Genomic DNA, 19,403 nt, shown 5'->3' on the forward strand with positions numbered 1-19,403 from the left:
ATTACGTTACAAAAAAAGACTCTGTTTTGCTTTTTTCTCACTCTCTTTCACTCTATCTCTCTCTCACTCTGAGGAAGGCCAGTTGCCATGTTGTGAGATGTCCTAAGGAAAGGCCCATATGGCAAGGAACTGATGTCTCTGACCAACAGCCAACAAGGACCTGTAGCATGTAAGCAGCCACGTAGTGAGCTTGGAAGTGGAGCTTCTGAAACCTGTTTACAGCCGTATGAGTGGCCTTGGAAGCCGGTCCTCTCCCTGTCAAGCCTTGAGATGACTGCAGCCCTGGGTGGTACCCTGATTGACTGCAGCCTTATGAGATGCCTTCAGCCAGAAAACCCAGTTAAGTGACACCAGGAATCCTGAACCACAGAAAATGTCACATACTAAATGTTTGTGTTAAGCTACTAAGTTTTAGGATAATTTGTCATGGAAGCAGCAATCTGGGCAGCAGCAAAGCCCAGAGAGAGAGCTCATTTCTCTGACTAGATGAACAAAGAAAAGGGACACCTATGGTCCAAAGAGTATGGAGGGGATCATCATTGTTCTCTCTGTCTCTCTTTCTCTCTCTCTCTCTCTTTCTTGCTACTTCATCATGAGGAGCATCTCAGCTGCACAGACTACACACAGAGTAAGGGGCTAAAACTCAGATACCATGGCTTTCTGGTTAGAGAAATGTGCTCAACAGATCTTATGGTCCCTATGGAAAAGGGACCATAAGAAAAGGAACCATAAGAGCCAGAGAGTGTGATAGGAAATGCCAGGTAGGGGAGAGCTGGAGAAAGATATCCCCTAATTCTATGTATGCACTAACATAAGTTCTCACTATGACCTGCAAATGCATGGAACAGACGCAAAGAAGCATAGCTTTGAAAAGTGAACTACAGTATAAACCACCAGCTATATCTCAGACTAACCCAATGAGGTACACGCACGGAGCGAACCCAAGCAGCATAGAAAAGGCTTTGAAAACTATAACTGCCACCCATAAAAGGAGAGACAGAGCTCATGGTCTAAACCTAACTGGGCAAAAACAAAAACAAATTGACATCTCCAACAGGTTTTCACATGCCCACGAATCTCACAATATAATCATCAAAGTTTTCAGCATACAACCCAAAATTACTTTAAAAAGATAGAAAAATCTGATCACTTTTCAAGGAAAAAGATAATCAACAAGTGCAAACCCTGAGATGGCCTAGATATTTGAATTATCAGACAAAAATGTTAAAGCCGTTGTTATAAAATGCTCCATAAGGTAAAGGTGAACACTTTTAAATGAGCAGCAAAGTGAAAGTTTTGAGCAGAAAAACTATGAACATCAATGAAATGGAAATTTAAAAACTGAAAAATAGAATATAAAATTTTTTTTAATTACTGGATGGGCTTAATGGCATAGGGGAAATGACAGAGGAAATAGCATTGAATTTGAAAGTAGGAAAATATAAATTATCAAATCAGAAAAACAAAATGACAGAAAAGATTTTTAAAAAAAGAACAGAGTCTCTGGTACCTGTAGAAGAATATCAAAGATATTTGCGTCATTCAAATCCTAGAAAAAGAGGAGAAATAGATTACTGCCAAGTATTTTTTGAAGAAATATAGGTGAACACTTTGTAAGTTTTATGAATTTAAGACACAAATTTACAGATTCAAGAAGTTCTGAGAACCCCACATAGAATAAACTCAGAGAAAACCATGCTAATACACATAATTAACTACTTAACCAAAGATTTAAATATTTATATATAGAGAGAGTGGTCAGTGACAAATAACACATTACATTCAGGGGAACAACAATTTTCTTATCAAAAGCTGTGGAGGCTAGAGATAGGGAAATACCAACCTTCAAGTGCTAAAAGGGAAAAAAAATTGCCAGCTCCTAAGCCTATATTCAATGAAAAGACCTTCAGGAATGATAGCAAACTAGAGACATTTTCAGCTGATCGAAAGCTTGAAGAATTGGTAGGCAGCAGACCTGCTTTAAAATAAATGTAGAAGGAAGCGCTTTAGAAAAACAGAAATGTAGATATTAAGGTAAACATACAATCATCCCTCAATACATACAGGTGATTGGTTCCAAACCACTACATATACCAAAATTTGCGTATACTCAAGTCCGGCATTTGGCCCGGTAGAATCCACGTATACAAAAAGTTGGCCCTCATGATTTGCAGGGTTTAGATCTTCAGTACTGTATTTTCGATTCACATCTGGTTGAAAAAAGTCTGTGTATAAGTGGACCCACACAGTTCAAACATGTATTGTTCAAAGGTCAACTCTAAAAGCCTATTTTTCTACTTTTAAGTTCTTTAAGTAAGTAGAATTATCAAAAGCCAAAATTATAATATTGTCTGGTGGGGGTTTCCATGTGAGTAAATGAATATATATTATATATATAATATGCACAGATATTATATCATTATTATTATATTATGTAATATAATTATATGGCCATAGGCAAGTTGCCTCACCTCTCTGAGTATTGGTGTTTTCATTTATACAACAGGGATAGTAATCCTAAGCCTAACCCTAATATTATATTAACATAACTAATAATATAATATTATATATAAGTATTATATTATATATATTATATATATTCACTACATAAAGAAGAGAGCATAAAGGGACCAGGTAAGATTTCTACATTTCTATATGTTCTAATTAAAAAACAGACTATCAAATTCAATTTTTAAAAAGACAATTATGTGACTACAGGAAACACATTTAAATATAGATATATAGATAGATAAAATAAGAGAAAGATAAAAGATACATCATGAAAACACCAATCAAAAGAATACTGGAGTTGCTTTATTAATATCAGATAGAATAGACTTCAGAATTAAAAATATTATCAGGGATAAGAAAAGACATTAAATACTGAGGAAGGGGTGAATTGTCCGAGAATATGTAATAATCCTAAATGTGTATGCTCCTGACAACAGGCATCAAACTATGTGAAGCAAAAACTGAGAGAACTGAAAGAAGAAATAGGAAAATTAACAAATCTATTTGAAGATATCTACACTCAGGAATTAGAAGAACTAGACAGAAAAATCAATAAAGATATAGAAGACTAAAACAACACTAGTTGACATTTATAGAATACACCACCCAACATTAGCATAATACACAATATTTTCAACTGTTCATGGAATATTCATCAAGAAAGACCATATGCTGGGCCATAACACAAGCCTTAATTGATTTACAATAATTGGAATCATGCAAAGTATGTGCTCTAACCTTTAAGGAATTAAATAGAAATCAATAACAGAAATACATCTGGAAAATCCCAAAATATGTGGAAATTAAAAAATCCATGAGCCAAAGAGAAAACCTCAAGGGATATTAGAAAATATTTTGAACTAACTAAAAATGAAAATACAACATATCATAATTTATGAAATACATGAAAAGATCATTAAATGCTCATATTAAAAAAGAAGGAAGGTCTCAAATTTGTTAGCCTCTTAAGAAACTAGTAAAAAAAAAAAAAAAATCAAATTAAACCCCAAACAAGCAGAAGGGTAGAAATGATATATATAAAAACAGAAATAAATGAAGTGGAAAACAGAAAAATAGTAGAGAAAAATCAATGAAACCAAAAGGTGGTTCTCTAAGTAAAACTCTATGCAGACATTCTATGGGTGGTGGGTATTATAAATAAAGTTTCGGTACCGCAAAAGAAATAGCACTCGAATATAAAATTTTCTTTTTAATTATCAGCAAGGCAAGGTACTTCTATAGAAGGGTGCGCCCTTACAGACGGAGCAATGGTGAGTGCACACCTGGACAAGGGAGGGAAAGGGGTTCTTACCCCGACACACATGGCCTCTGATGCTGTGTCGTTCCCCTATTGGCTAGGGTTAGACCGCACAGGCTAAACTAATTCTGATTGGCTACTTTAAAGAGAGTGACAGGGTGAGTGGTTTGGGAGGAAAAATGGTTATGACAGAGCAGTTAATCGGAATGAGTGAGGGTGGAGTAGGTAATCGGAATCAGTCATGGTGGAGCAGGTAATCAGAATGAGTCAGGGTGGAGCAGGTGATTGAAATGAGTCAGAGTGGAGCAGGTAATCGAAAAAGGTTGCTTTATGAGGAAGTTAAGTTTAAAAGTAGAAGGCAAAGAATTGAACATACTGACATATTGATTCTTTGAAAAGAAATTTAGAACTCATATCTAACATGGGAGAGTGGGAAGAGGAAGAAGATACAAATGACCAGTACCAGGACTGAAAGGGAGATATCACTGCAGACCCTACAGACATTAAAAAGGCTAATAAGGGAATACAATAAACAATTTTATGCATACAAATTCAACAGTTTAGATGAGATGGACAAATTCCTTGGAAATTATAAATGCCAAAAGTCACCCCAAACTGAATTTTTAGTGACTGGAGGCATTTATCTCAGTGGACTCTCCAGACTTTATTCAAAGCCATTGCCTGCTTCCATCAAGCTTAGTCTTGAATCTTTACCAATGTTTGATTTATTCCTCTTACTTTTTTTTCTATTAACTTTGAATACCATCCCTCCTCCTTTCCAAGACTTTATTTATTGTGAGTGATAATTGACATAACCTTCAGGAACCTCAGAAACCTTAGGCATCTGCAGAAACATTTTGAAGCATATCAGACTAGCCTATCTTTCTAGAAACCCGATTCCCATTCCCCTCTGCCAAACCCCTCAGCGGCGATGTGTATACTTTGTATTAGTGCATATTCAGGAAGGTTCAAAGCACTTGTCTGCTACTCTTTGCATGGCCACACCCTCAGTCAAGGGCCTTTCTGCTTCCAGCATCATTACAGATGGATTTGAGGCTTTGGGCTATCTCCAGGGGAGCCATCTCCTCCAGGTTTTTGTTCCCTTTTCTGACTCAGAACTTAACCATTCTGGCAAAACTTTCTGTGGTGTGGCCATAGTTACAGTACAGCGTTTGCATTCTATGGGTCTTACAACACTATCCCCCAAATCCACCAATTTTCAGTAGCATGTAGCTTGTCTCATAAGCTTTATTTCCTGCTTTAAAGGATGAACAGTCCTCAGAGGAACCAAGTTCCTTGCCCAAATAATTTTGGCAAGGCTAAGACACTGAAGGACATCTATACGCCTTGTTTTCTCATACATCTTAGGCCTGTAAATTCTGGTTTATGGGTTCACATCCAGAGTCCCTCCTTTCTTTCCAGCTTTCCAATTAGTTTCTGTTAATTTATATGGTAGAAAATACATATTTCAAAGACGTAGTTCTTAGCTCTGTCTCAAAGTGCTTAAGCAGTTTTTATCAATTTCTTCTTATTTGGGAGTGGTATCCCCAAGCTAATACCGCCTGTGAGGGAAAAATATATACTCTTAGGCAACATTTTGCTAGTAGCTTGATAATCATAAGAGTGTCTTCTTGCTAGCAATATTTTGAGTACAACAGCAACAGAGTGTGCAATGGATTCACTGGTTAAGCCAAAAAGTTATAATGTTTGAACCTCCCAAGGGCCACCTCCATATTTAATATGAATTTCTTTAAACCACCAGAGCTGGGCCTCATTTCTCCCATACTCTGTGGGAGTTCTGACTTTCATCCAAGATCTTCCCTATGACTTTAAGAGCAGAAAGACATGGTCCTTGTGGTGTCTCCCAAACTGGACTCCTCTTAGTTACAAGTGGACTATGACTGACTTATTAAAATGATCCTCATCTTTCCAGAAACACTTGAATGCTGCCACCAGTATATTTTTTAGCTGAGACCTTCCTCTTCCTTTTTTCCCCATAACCAGAATCTGTGGTCTGTGCTAACATTGCTTCTCCATGAAAATTTCACTCCCACTCCACTCTTTCTACCTTTCTGCAGATGCCTGCACTTTCACCGCAAATCATGAAATGATTACATATTTTTAACAGCATTATTGAGATTAAATTTATTTACCATAAAGCTCACCCAGGTAGCAGTGGCTGCCAGCTATACCCTTTCATAGAATTAGCCTTTTCTTTAGGCTTTGCTCTTCTCAAAACAAATACTTCCCTTTTTGTTCTCTTGTTTCCTCTTGTAAGTCCCTAGGATTATTAAACATAGGGCTTGAATTTCACTTTGAAATGTTTTCCACGTTTGTGGTAATAATGTCACCTGAGGGTTTCTACTAGATTAAGTAAAGGAAGAAACAGAGTGGGAGGGGAATGAAGTGTGACAAACTCTCTTATAAAAGATAAGGCAAAAATGGCAGTCAATTATTGTTTCTGATAAATGTAATGTCATCCAATAATTTATAGTAATTCTGAGAACTATAGCCAGTAAAATGAATTTGCATAGTCTGTCTTCTTTAGGACACTGATTTTCAAACTTGAATGCACACTGGAATCACCCGAGGAATTTAAAAAAACACCGACACCTGGATCCCACACAAGGACCCTGATTTAAATGGTATGAATTGCAACCTGAGCATCAAGATTTTTTAAAGTTCCCTAGGTGATTCTATTGTGCTACGAAGTGACTCTTTTACTGCAAACTTGTTAGCATGATCAGAATCACCAGGGGAGTTTGATAAAATAGATTGCTAGAGTTTTTGATTCAGTACATTTGGGTGAGACCAGAGAATTTCAAGTTCTAGCAAATTTTTGGCTAAAACTGATGCTATTTTTCTGGAGACTATATCTTGAGAATCACTGCTTTAGAGCACTTTAATATGCAAATGAATCACCTGAGGATTCTGTTAAAAGGCAGTTTTGATTCAGTAGATATGGAACTGGACCTGAAATTCTGCATTTCTAATAAGCTCTTAAGTTATGCCAGTGCTGCTGATCCATGGATCACACTTTAAACAGCAAAAGATTAGAGTACAGAGGTTAACAATTATAATTAGAGAATACAGTAAATAAATTTTATTTTGTAAAAATATTGAGAAAAAAATTAGCACCAAAGCACCAATTTAAAGGATATTTTATTCCTTAATTTCCATATTATTACATGGATACATGATTTTTTAAAATTCCATGATCTTTGAGAAATTAACAAAATATTTTGGAAATGTTGTATCATGAGGAATTCAAAATTACTCTCTTTTTTTAAGGTAAAGGTGTCAATATTCAAGAATGCCCCCCAAATCATTGAATGATTACATATTTTAACAGCTTTATTGAGATATAATTTACTCATTTGAAGTGTACAATTTTATGGTTTTCAGTATCTTTTCATCATCACAAAAGAAAACTCATTGTTCATCACTCCCCATTTTTCTACTATCTGAGTCCTAGGCAGTAACTAAGCTGCTTTCTGCCTCCATAAGTTGCCTATTCCGGACATATCATATAAATGGGATCACACAATACGCAGTCTTTTGTTCCTTCATTTATCGTAACACTTGCTTTTCCATGATATAATCCCATCAACATTATATATGGATATTTTTCTGGTGATATTTAAAAATTAATATTCAGCTGTTCCATCTATTGGTTTATTTTTAAGTGTAAATAATCAATTCTAACCAAGAATGTAGAAGTAAACCAGTAACTCACATTTCTGCTTTTAAGTATACTAAGAACAGTATCAAATGTGGCTCTCACAGTTCTGAAACTTAAGAGGAACGCATGGAGATTCTGATTGTGATATTTATGTCTATGTATTTTTTCTCTTGATTTTGGTAATTTACAATATGGGAATAAGTCCATCTTCCAAAACCTAATTAGGAATACAGTGTTTAGCAGATCAGTAATATGTGTATTTCTCTCTTTCTAATTAGGATAATCCTCACCAGCCTCAGAGTTCATGTCTGAAAGTATAGAGGCGGCAGATAACCAATGCAAGTGAACATGGGTGAAAATGGATGAAAGTCCATCTGGGCTGTCTGCAAAATGAGAAGATTCTAGACACTGTTTCTTAAATACCTTGGAGGCGAGGATCACAAAATGCTCTCAGAAGTTTATGAAAGCTATGGAGTCTCCGGAAATATTCAGAATTTTGCATGTAATTTTCATAGATTGCAGATTCCCTGAAGAACACCAGTAGTTGAGGACTCCTAGAACCCAGGTTAACAGTAGCTAGGGTTCATGCAGTACTTGACATGTAGTAAGTTATAAATGTTTGTGATGATGAGAATTAATAGCTTTGTTTCATGGAGTGAAGAATGAGAAAAAAAATACTTGTTTTTATAAATGGAGTTTTTAATGATTACAGAAAATATGTTTCCAGAGCCTGGAAACAGGCTGCTTGTTAACATTCATTATCAGTGTTTATTATTTTTAATGCTCATTCTTTTGTTTTTAATTGGCAGTTTTGGCAATATGGAATAGTCCATTTAGGAACTCCTGACTACTTGTTATTTACTTTATACCAAGCACGCTGATAATCAATTTACCTGGATTAGCTCATTTAATCCAAACAAATCCCAATAAGTAGGTTTCTCTAATAAAGAAGTTGAGACTTAGAGTAACTCGTAATGGTCCCAAAGACTGTCATGTGTAGGGAACAACTTTGTTTCATGAAGTGAAGAATGTATAGAACACAAACTATTTTTTATAACCACCTTCATTGGCAAAATAATTGCTGAAAAATTCCTACAGATTCCAGCAAGCATTTGTTAATAATAATTTGTTGCTTTGTGTTGATGTATAATCTGGCTTTCACTGATATTTTAGTAAGGACTCTGCACAGGATAAGTATGGATAGCTAGCTAGAAGCTATTCTCACTCTTCTCTTCAGCATGGTGACTTGAATTTCCATGGTATAGTTTCAACATTGTCATTTGGTTTCCTCATTATCTTTGGCTTTTCCAAGAGCATGCTACCTATATTATAAACTGAACCTTATTTTATGTTCTATAGCTCCATAGCTTGTTTCTGCTTCATTCAACCTGATTTCATGCTAAACATGAAAGTAGCTATAAAATTCCTACTTTAAAGTGTTAATTGAAAGATTATGAAGAAAAGAACAGGGTTTTAGTAAAGACTATATTTAACTGATGGTAAAGACTATCATGACCAAATTTATTTGGCAAATGTTTGCCACTAATGTTGACAGGTAATGTAAATGGCTCATACTATAATAATCTGCTTTCTTTTTTTGTCTTCTTCCAGGTTCTGGATGAAGCCTTCCACCATTTTAAAGCTCCTTTTATGGATATTTCTGGTTTTGGTCTCAGATTTTCATTCTCCAAACATTCTCTTTAGATGACCACATTCACTTTCAAGTATTCATGCCAAATAAATCTTCATTTCCAGCCCAGACCTCCCTCCAAACTCTTGGTTTGTTTAGTCACTTGCAACACAGATTATTCATCCAGATTTCCATGGGCATCTCAAAATCAACACATCCAAAATGAAGTTATCATCCCTGATAATCCTCCTAGCTCCTGTCCCATTCATCTCCCTCCCATCTCTCACCCATAAAGAATTAACTACTGATGTTTCTCACTAACCAACCCATAATAATGACCTGCATTAATTAATCCATGTGCAATTCAGAATTACTTACATTCATTTATCCATGTGATATTTTCACTCATTAATCACCATCGTCTGCATATGTAAACAGGAACAACAACATCCACCTATCCCAGCAGGGGTTTTGCAATTACTTTAAAGCCTTTTCAAATATATTTTTGTGTGATTAAAATGATGGAGATATTTCAAATGAATTCAAGTATAAAATGCAAAATATTCCAACTTCATAAACTGTTTACTTCTGGCTTAGAAAATGTTAATATTTTTACTCAACCCATCTGGCTCTGGAGATGCTGTGTGTGCTTGATAATTGTATGTGAAAATTATTATTTGCATCTTTAAAAATTACTTGAGGAATGCTATTTATTAAACTTGTTATTCCTATCTATTTTTTGACAACATAATACAACTTTAAATTCAAAAGAAAAATTGACAAGACATATTTTAGCAGTTTAAAATGAACATCACAGATACAAAATGATCAAAGTAAAATATTATTAGCTGTAGATGACTCAAATATTTCCTCGTCTTACTGTCTTTTGTTTTGATGTGATTTCCTTCCATCCTTAAAAAATCCTGTAGCACCATCTGCTCCTATAACACTTTGGCATGCTTAAAAATTTCATTTCCAGACTCGGCAGTTTTGAAATACTTCCATGGACATTTCTTAAAGAAAATAAGTTGGAAGAATTTCCATTCCTCCCAGCTTGTTTCTTAATAAACAGCAGACGAAGTACTCAAGAAACACAGAGCTATATAAATGTTTTGTTATAATCAGACATTTCCCTTCTGATTTTCCCTCTGACCCTGTGGCTATATTATGCCTGAGGAAACAGTATTTTATATGCTATGTGCACAGTTTATGCAACAATTTTTTAATATGCAGATCTGGTTTTATAATCTGAATTCTAAAATGTAATGAATTTCCATGAAGTGTATGTTTCATGGATAAGCCAGCATTTAATAAATGACTAGATTACCCAAACACTCCAAGGGAAGTTGGAGACTAAGCAAGTAATATCAGTAAAAATAATCCAATAAACTAAATAGATTCTCCTTCTACGAAATTTAACCATACATTTAGAAAAAATTAGACTTCCAGTTTTTGACAGCGGTAATGGAAAATTAAGTGGCTCATTTTTTCAATGTGTATGACTCCAAGTCGTTGAAACTGATACAGAAGTATAAATAAGAGGTATTAAGTGATGCTGAAACTGTGGTAGGAGAAATAGCAATGGACTAATGGCCTCCTCAGGGAAGCCTAAATATAGGTGTTGCATTGTTTACAAATATATTCATCCTTTTAGTCACTTATTCAGCATATATCAAACACCTACTATGTCTAGATTTCATGTTAGTTTCTGCAATGAATCAATAATTTCCTTGTCATTTTAAAATAATATTTATCTATCATCTTAGAGATGCAACTTGGTCCCCTTCATCCAGCAATTTCTACTCTAACCCGTTTTTCACATAATAGCCAGAGTAAATTTTGTAAAGTTACAATTGTATTGTAGGATAAAGGTCTAACTCCTTAATGTGGTTTACAATGCCCTTTACAAAAGTCTCACTTTTACTTACCCTCTTAGTCTCTGCCTTTCTACACTTACTGTCTAGCCATACTGAATTACTTCGCTGTCACTCGAGACTTAGTTCTTTGCATGCTCTTTCCTCCACCAAAAATATTTTTTTTTCTCCTCTCCTTACCTGGCTTCTTTTTTAAAAACTTTTATTTATTTATTTATTTATTTTGAGACAGAGTCTCTCTCTATCACCCAGGTGGGAGTGCAGGGGTGCAATCTCGGGCTCACTGCAACCTCTGCCTTCCAGGTTCAAGCGATCCTCCTGCCTCACCCTCCCAAGTAGCTGGGATTACAGGCATGCACCACCATGCCTGGCTAATTTTTGTAGTTTTAGTAGAGACGGGGTTTCACCATGTTGGCCAGGCTGGTCTCAAACTCCTGACCTCAAGTGATCTGCCTGAGGCCTCCCAAAGTACTGGGATTACAGGCGTGAGCCACCGTTCCCGGCCTCTTTACCTGACTTCTTTTCTTTACCCTTTAGTTTCTGACATAAACATCTTATCAGTGAAACCTTCCCTAAGGAACAATGCCAAGTCAGATGACCATAGTGACCTATGCTTTCCACCTTGCAGCACATAACACAGCCAGTTATTTATTTCCTTGCCTCTTCTACTGGACTGTAAACCCCTTGAGGACAGGAAATATACTTTGCTTGCCCTGGAAACCTCGTTATGTGAAATAGCACTTTGGCATACCTTGGTAAAAAAAAGGCTGAATGAGGAAGTGGAAGAGTGAGCCATGCATTCTTCCTGTCTCTCTGAGTGAGGTCATTCAAAATGGCAAGGGTGTAAAGACGAGGGAGGCATTCATTTGCCTTGCCACTTGACTACATGGGTTGGAATATTTGATGGTAAATGCACATACTTAATCATACTCTTTTTTAAACACTACATTTAAATTCTAATTTACTATTAAAATATTTCCAACTTAAATCAGTAATGCCTTAATTTTTCTTATGGAGAAGAGTGTGTGACTTACTCTTCTTGTTTACTTTAGTGCATTATGATGGACTGAAATACAAAACAATTCCAAGATCAACTTAAATATATTTTTCTTGTTTTGGAAGCAGAATAATAATAACAAATTAACTAATCTAGAGAAATAAATATGTTCAGTAGAGAGATAATTGCATTTGCTTGGGTAAAATATTTTGGCTTGCTCAGTATCACATGTATACAGCTGTATTTCTAAAACAACTTTATTCATAAATAACATTTCTTTAAATATTTATTGATAATGATATGGCAATCTAGTATACTATGACTTTAACCTCTATAGATTCTAAGATCAAATATGTAAATGAAATAAACATACATCTATGCATATTCAACTAGGAAGCATTGTATTGAAACACTAATGATAGTATTAAGGGTTGAATTTTATTTTCATTTTTTTACTTTTCTATATTTTTCCAAACTTTGAGAATGAGCACATAGAAAAGAAAACCAATTAACATTTTTATATATGAGATAGAGCAGAAAAGATAATGACATTGTTCAAGAGAGAAATAGTAGATATGGGTGTTCCATAAGTTTCTTGCTAGCTTTAAAACTAATTTTATGAGTTCTCAATTGTACTGTCAAAAAATATATAGATTTCAATCCAGTAGAGATTCAAATAGAAATATCTGTCAAATATTCTTTCTTAATAGATAATTAATGAAAAAGCATACAATATGACTGTCATAAAAGGTGAATGCCTTTCACCTCATGGGCACTTACGTATCTAATGAATCCATGAACTGGTCAATGAATAGAAACTGAAGTTTGTGTATTAAAATCCTGTCTCTGCTGCCCTCCAGTGGCTTAACTCTGAAGAACTTCAAAAGAGAAAATCAAGTGCCATCTATTCCCAGATCCTTATTTGTGGTGAGTATGAATGCTCAGGTGTGTGAGCTTGGGATTTTTCCTGGACAGTTTTGTATTTGTCCTATTAGATATTACCTTGGTATATCAAGACCAAATTCCCAAGACTAAATGCATTACCCATCTCCTCCCACCTGCAGAAGGGTAAGCTGGAGCAACTGCCATAAATGGTGCCAATAAATACTAGCATTTGTTCGTGGACAGTTTATAGAGACTTTTCAATTGTGTTATCACAGAAAACTCCTAGTAAGAAATAGTGGTGATAGCAATTGCATCTCGTTTATTAGAAATTTCTCTGATTCCCTTTACAAAGTGGGTGATGGTGTCAGTGTTATCTTTAGGTATGAAAACCCTATGAACAGCTTATAGTCTAAAACTTACAATGTGGTGCTGTAGAAAGATGTTAGCTTAGCAGCAAACATCATCAATAAATATCTTCTGCAATCTGGTAACCATTAGAATTATATATTTTTTATTGCCCTGGACTATGAGAATTACATTCTGAATTCATTTGGTATCTTGTGTAGGCATAGGAGAAAACCTTTTTGTATCTAAGAAAATGGGGTTTTTGACATTGACTATCACCTGTTCCCAGATCTCCTAGGACTCAGACCTCAGACCTCACACCCCTGAAAGCTGAAACCTCGGGGGTTTCAGATAGTGATCTCTAATTGAGTTCTTGTCTAGATGAATTCTTAAAATATTTTACCTTTCCCTGTTATTGTGGTTCTGGAATATTCTTTTGGTTTTAGCCAAGGAAATCTCTCAATTTCTTCAAAAGTTTGCTACTGTGCCTCTAGGTGGTACAATTATTTCCATCTTTTTGCTCATTTGCAGCCTGTCTTTTTGGATTATAGTCTCTCACTACTTAAGCAATTTCTTCCTTTTCTGTAGTATGTCTCATTTGTCCTTCATAATAATGAATGTCTGTGTTTTTTATTCTCAGGTAGATTACTGGAATTTTACGTATATTTTATTGGTGTTCTCATGAATGCTTGGATTTAACAATTGTACCATTTTCCAACGTTCTATGTCATAGTAATTTTGCAACTTGTTTTCAATTAATAATATGTTGAGAATAGTGTACATAAAATGCATTTTAGAACTAATCCTAAGATAAAGTGTCTCACCAAAGCATATTTTATAACAATAAAGCAGTAGAAAAAATAAGTTAACTAAATGTCCAACAAGTGGAGATGTATTATATAAATTCAGTACCATCAAAAATGTAATATTACTCAGTAATTAAAATTATATTTTATTTAAATGTTCATTGGCTTGTGAAAAGTCTATAACATACCAAGTAGAAGTTAAAGTTATATTTTGTAAGTTAAAAAAATTTTAAAAGGTGAGAAGTATATACAAGATTTTTCCCATTTTTTTAGAAATGGATATGCATGTGTATATTGTATGTATGTTTATATGTTATGTATATGCACACAAAAATGCCTAAAAGGATATGAGTTACTAATAGTGATTTTATCTTTGGTGTGGTTGTCATTATTTAAATCTAAAATAAAAAAAATCTTAACTCCATTATCCTTCATGAAGCCCTTAATCTAATCGAATAGTTCCTTAAACTCTAGCATATACTACTTTTATGCTGTTGGTGGGACTGTAAACTAGTTCAACCGTTATGGAAGTCAGTGTGGCGATTCCTCAGGGATCTAGAACTAGAAATACCATTTGACCCAGCAATCCCATTACTGGGTATATCAAAGGACTATAAATCATGCTGCTATAAAGACACATGCACACGTATGTTTATTGCAGAACTATTCACAGTAGCAAAGACTTGGAACCAACCCAAATGTCCAACAATGATAGACTGGATTAAGAAAATGTGGCACATATACACCATGGAATAATACTATGCAGACATAAAAAAGGATGAGTTCATGTCCTTTGTAGGGACATGGATGAAGCTGGAAACCATCATTCTCAGCCAACTATCACAAGGACAAAAAACCAAACACCTCATGTTCTCACTCATAGGTGGGAATTGAACGATGAGAACACATGGACACAGGAAGGGGAACATCACACACTGGGGCCTGTTGTGGGGTGCGGGGAGAGCGGAGGGATAGCATTAGGAGATATACCTAATGTTAAATGACGAGTTAATAGGTGCAGCACACCAACATGGCACATGTATATATATGTAACTAACCTGCACGTTGTGCACATGTACCCTAAAACTTAAAAGTATAAAAAAAAATAAATTAAAATAAACAGCTGAAATGAAAAAAAAAAAAACTCTAGCATATACTTTCAGTTTCCTAAACACTCTCATAAATGTATTGTAGTGCAATAAAATCTAACACATTATAATGCCATCTTTATTCTATCATCTCCTATCAGTTCTTAGTGGAATAAATTTGAGATCAGAACAGTAAGATAATTCTATTGACCAATGGACATTACTGAATCGGGGGAAATTCCAAAGTGGAAATGCACTGTGTCACACGTTTGTTTATTATAGTTGCAGCCTCAGCATTCATAAGTTGTTAGGAATCCCATAACCACTTAGGACTGACATAAGTTGTTTGAATCCCAGTCATACCCCGTCACCTTTGGCCTAGTTAAAACTCCCCCTTCCTGCGAGGTTGTTTGCAAAATAACATGCTTATGCCTCATACCACTGATCCAAAACCCAATGCATCCCACCATTGCCAAGCACAATAACACCTAATGGTCAACACCAGAGCTCTAAAAATAAGTTCCTCATTCACACATGTTTTCTTTACACTAGCCAATCCACAACTTCCGCAGGAAAAACTAAGGGATAGTGCCCGTGGCTTTGGTCCTTCCTAAAGACATAGCCCCACAGGTTCCCCTCCTCCCCATCTCATTGCCCACCCACTGGTTGAGCTTCCTGCTACCACCTACAGATTTCCCCATAGGCCTCACATTGGCACCCCCAACCTCTCTGGAACCGGTGAGTAATAAATTGCTTCTGTTTTATGCATTTTGGTTTCACAACCTCACTGAGTCTCACTTGGCTGACATACTTGAGGCTAACTTTCCCCCTATCAGGGCTCTCCTAGGGAGTGTCTATCTCGGCTTATGGCGACTCTCAAGAGAGAGATCACAAAAACAAAGCAGACAGAAATGATAACAATAGAAATCATAACACACTGCATTGGAGAAGTACAGAGAGTTTTCTTCAGACCTCTTAGGTTCTGTGGCTGGGTCTGAGAATTAAAGTAACAGAAGACATATTAACAAGAGAAAAACATACAAGTTTAATTTTTTTCATATGTACACGGGAGTCTTCATAAGGAAAATTAAGACCTGAAGAAGTTATTAGGCCTCAATAGTTATATATCTTTTTAAACAAACAACAATAAATTGTGAGGATGTGACAACAAAGAGGCTTGGGCCAAAGGCAGTAAATGTGGGACAGTGACTAGGAAATATATGGGAGAGACTAGTGGAAGATAAGGACTATTATAATAGATTTGTTTGTACGATTGATTTTGGTGTCAACTCCAAGTCTCCAGTGATAAAGATGGTCTTCTCTTCCTGGTACAAGAAGGGCATCTTTTTCACGGGAAATTTTATGGCCTGCTTTTAGATAAAAGGTGTTCAAAGCGTATTTTCTGTATCTGCTGATTCTCAAGTGTCTCCAGCTCAAAATAATCAATATGCAAAACAATAAATTTGGGGGTGACGTGTTCTGAACCCCTTTAGAAGAAAAATACATCAAGTTTGGTTAATAGACAAAAAATAAAACAAGATAAATAGATAAATTAAAAAGACATTTGTCATTGAGATTTATGGAGAGACACACAACAAAAGGCAAACAAATTGACCAATCTGTGGAATGCCTTCCATTCCTGTTGCAACAAAAGTAGACAAATAACACAATAATAATTTGACCTGATAGAATTAAAATTTTACCAAAAGCTGAACAGAGCATATAACACTCCCAATTTTCCTGGCAATGGGGCTGTCATTTCTATAATAATTACATTTTAATGAGGATAAAACATATCCAAATAAGATAAGCAATAATTAAAATCTGAGTCACATGTGTTCTACTTAGTTCCACTTTAAGGAAAGATCTGAAGAGGAATTGAGAGATTTTTGTTGCAGGCCAAAAATAAAGTTATGAGAAAATAATTTGAGTGATATAAATGAATGATAAAATTAAGCCTTTGTTCTGAAGAGCCTCTGGGTATCACACAACTGTGTTTGTCCCAGTGTCTTTGATGGTGATAGCCACATTGTCTCACCTGTTCTTCCCATCAGCATTTCTGATTGGAGAAAATGAAGACTAGAAAGTGGCAAAAGCTCATTCTTTCAGTGGCCTGAGAAACCCAGTAGCCATAATGAAAAATGTTGACAGATTTTAACTATATAATTACTTAAATACTCTTTCGGGATAATGATGGTTCATAAACAAGATTAAAAAGGCAAATAATAGAGGAAAATGTTGCAACACATGAATCATGAATTAATGTCTTAAATCTTTCAAATCAATAAGGAAAGGCAAAACTTGACTGAAAAGTGAACAAAGGATGGAGCAGGCAATTCATAGGAGTAATGCAAATGGTGTAGGAACACAAAAAGTAAATCATCTTCTCTGGGAACCCTAGAAATGCACACTAAAACAAAAATGAAATTCTCTTTTACTCCATCAGTTTAGCAGTGGTGTAAGCACAGAGGCATTCTCATCTGTTGTTACTGAGAGGCAAATTAACAGAGCCTTTGGGAAGGCAGTGTTACACCCTCTAAAAATATTTAAAATGTGAAAAGCTAAGACAGCAATTTCACTTCAAGGAATTTAATCTCTAAAACTATAATGCACACATATATACACATAAGCAAACAGGATAAAAATATTTATGTATGAAATTGTTCCCTGTAGAAATATTTGTGTAGCAGTCAAATTGTAATCAATATAAAGGATGAAATAAATTATAATATGTGCTTATTACTAGTATGCTGCAATGCAATGTTTCCACTTAAAATGGGTTAGAACTATGTGTACAAACATTGAATGATGTCTTTAATATAGTTTGAGTTCAAACATGTTGCAGTTATGTATATGTTATATATGTATGTATATATATGCACATTAAATCATATTTTAAAAATAAATTCAGATGAGTTGTATGATTAAGTTTTCTGTCTGGGTATCACCATTTATTTTTCTGTTATTTATTAAACTGACCTTGGACAAGTGACCTGACTCCATGTCCTCCATGTCTAAAATGGAAATAATAATTTGGTGAGTCTTAAATGAATTAATAAATGTAAAACAATTAGAATCTAAGTGTAAAGCCTGGCACAGGGTTAAACTATATGTGATGTCTATTATTATAGTATTTTTGTTATCTAAATTGAATGATTTTAACCCTTCTTACAAATAATGTTTTCTCACATAGACATTATTTTTTCTTTTTTTCTTATTAATAGAACCCTGACCTTGTTTTTTATCCATGCACTTTTGTGTATCTAAGTGCTTAAGAGGAAAATAGACTCATTTCCAGTCTCATCAATTAAATCTTGATTAGTTTAAGCCAGTGATAAGCCGAAATGTGAACATTTTAGGTCAATGAGATATGACAGATAATTACCTAGATTTCTGGAAAGAATTCTGGGATCTTGAAAAGAGGCATAAACAAGAGACTGTCTTTTCAAGTTTTGTTTGTTTGTTTGTTTTATATCTAGATGTTGGTTTGTAATGATATGAGGCCTGAAGCTGCTGCAGTTATTTTATCCCTGTGAGGGAAATTAGCACCCACAGATGATGATAAACGGAAGAGATAAAAAGAATCTGTGTCTTTGTTGACATTGCTGAGCTACTGAATTGATCACTCATAGAAGGCCTTATTATATAAGATAATAAATATTGTTTTTCAAAAACTATTTTGATTGGGATTTAAATGTAAAGAACACGTCTCAATAAATATATCCATAATCCTGATACTTTGAAAAATCTATCATCTTCTATTCCTCTGCCCTCACACCCATGCCTTCCTCTATCTTCTTGAATATATGAAACATATTTATAATAACTTATGGATCTGTTCCCCTAGCTTGATTTTTCTCATATGAGTTATGCTTATATTTTTCTCTTGAGTTATATTCATATTTTCCTCTTGAGTTATATTCATATTTTCCTGCTTCTTTGCATTCCTGATAATATTTAATTGGATGCTGAACACTGTTAGGTGCTTGATTTTGTTGTATTCCTTTAAATATTTTTGGGGTTTTGTTCTGGGATGCAGTCAAGTTACTTGGAATTAATTTGTCCTTCTGATTCTTGCCTTTAAGCTTTGTTAGTGTGTGTCTAAAACATACGTTAGTCCTAAAATAATTTGGCCTCAGTATTTTTTAAATGATTCTACCCCAAACCCATGTATTAAGAGGTCTTTCTACCCTGGCTGGTGGGACGAAGAACTATTCCCAACTCTTTGTGAATTTTAGAAATGGTTCCCCTTCATTCTATCAGTTCTTTCCCTGGCATTGAGTAGCTTACTCACACTCATATTAGGTCATTACTTGGTTATAAAGAG

At 34.9% G+C, this 19,403-nt stretch overlaps 1 long non-coding RNA gene across 2 annotated transcripts, besides 5 other annotated features; it reads left to right on the forward strand.

The window, feature by feature from the left end:
• The first annotated feature begins 3,206 nt into the window (after positions 1-3,206).
• Positions 3,207-14,304, forward strand: LOC105376218 (uncharacterized). Of its 2 annotated transcripts, none has more exons than XR_007061731.1 (3): positions 3,207-6,414; positions 7,730-7,953; positions 9,063-14,304. It is a non-coding gene; the product is annotated as an uncharacterized LOC105376218 (long non-coding RNA). The 2 variants fall into 2 exon arrangements; XR_001746891.2 differs by having other exon boundaries at positions 7,730-8,016; positions 9,063-10,288.
• Positions 6,451-6,620: an enhancer, noted in NCBI's record as "experimental_105200 CRE fragment used in MPRA reporter constructs". NCBI's record gives its function as "activates a minimal promoter by MPRAs in K562 erythroleukemia cells, with activity observed for the non-introgressed 9:113379654 variant allele {active_cell/tissue: K562}" and the evidence as "EXISTENCE:reporter gene assay evidence [ECO:0000049][PMID:34662402]".
• Positions 9,441-9,610: an enhancer, noted in NCBI's record as "experimental_105219 CRE fragment used in MPRA reporter constructs". NCBI's record gives its function as "activates a minimal promoter by MPRAs in K562 erythroleukemia cells, with activity observed for both the introgressed and non-introgressed 9:113382644 variant alleles {active_cell/tissue: K562}" and the evidence as "EXISTENCE:reporter gene assay evidence [ECO:0000049][PMID:34662402]".
• Positions 10,282-10,451: an enhancer, noted in NCBI's record as "experimental_105225 CRE fragment used in MPRA reporter constructs". NCBI's record gives its function as "activates a minimal promoter by MPRAs in K562 erythroleukemia cells, with activity observed for the non-introgressed 9:113383485 variant allele {active_cell/tissue: K562}" and the evidence as "EXISTENCE:reporter gene assay evidence [ECO:0000049][PMID:34662402]".
• Positions 15,549-15,718: an enhancer, noted in NCBI's record as "experimental_105248 CRE fragment used in MPRA reporter constructs". NCBI's record gives its function as "activates a minimal promoter by MPRAs in K562 erythroleukemia cells, with activity observed for the non-introgressed 9:113388752 variant allele {active_cell/tissue: K562}" and the evidence as "EXISTENCE:reporter gene assay evidence [ECO:0000049][PMID:34662402]".
• Positions 18,732-18,901: an enhancer, noted in NCBI's record as "experimental_105271 CRE fragment used in MPRA reporter constructs". NCBI's record gives its function as "activates a minimal promoter by MPRAs in K562 erythroleukemia cells, with activity observed for both the introgressed and non-introgressed 9:113391935 variant alleles {active_cell/tissue: K562}" and the evidence as "EXISTENCE:reporter gene assay evidence [ECO:0000049][PMID:34662402]".

The sequence above is a fragment of the Homo sapiens genome, chromosome 9 (assembly GCF_000001405.40).
Source record: "Homo sapiens chromosome 9, GRCh38.p14 Primary Assembly".
In the NCBI taxonomy this organism is placed as follows: domain Eukaryota; kingdom Metazoa; phylum Chordata; class Mammalia; order Primates; family Hominidae; genus Homo; species Homo sapiens.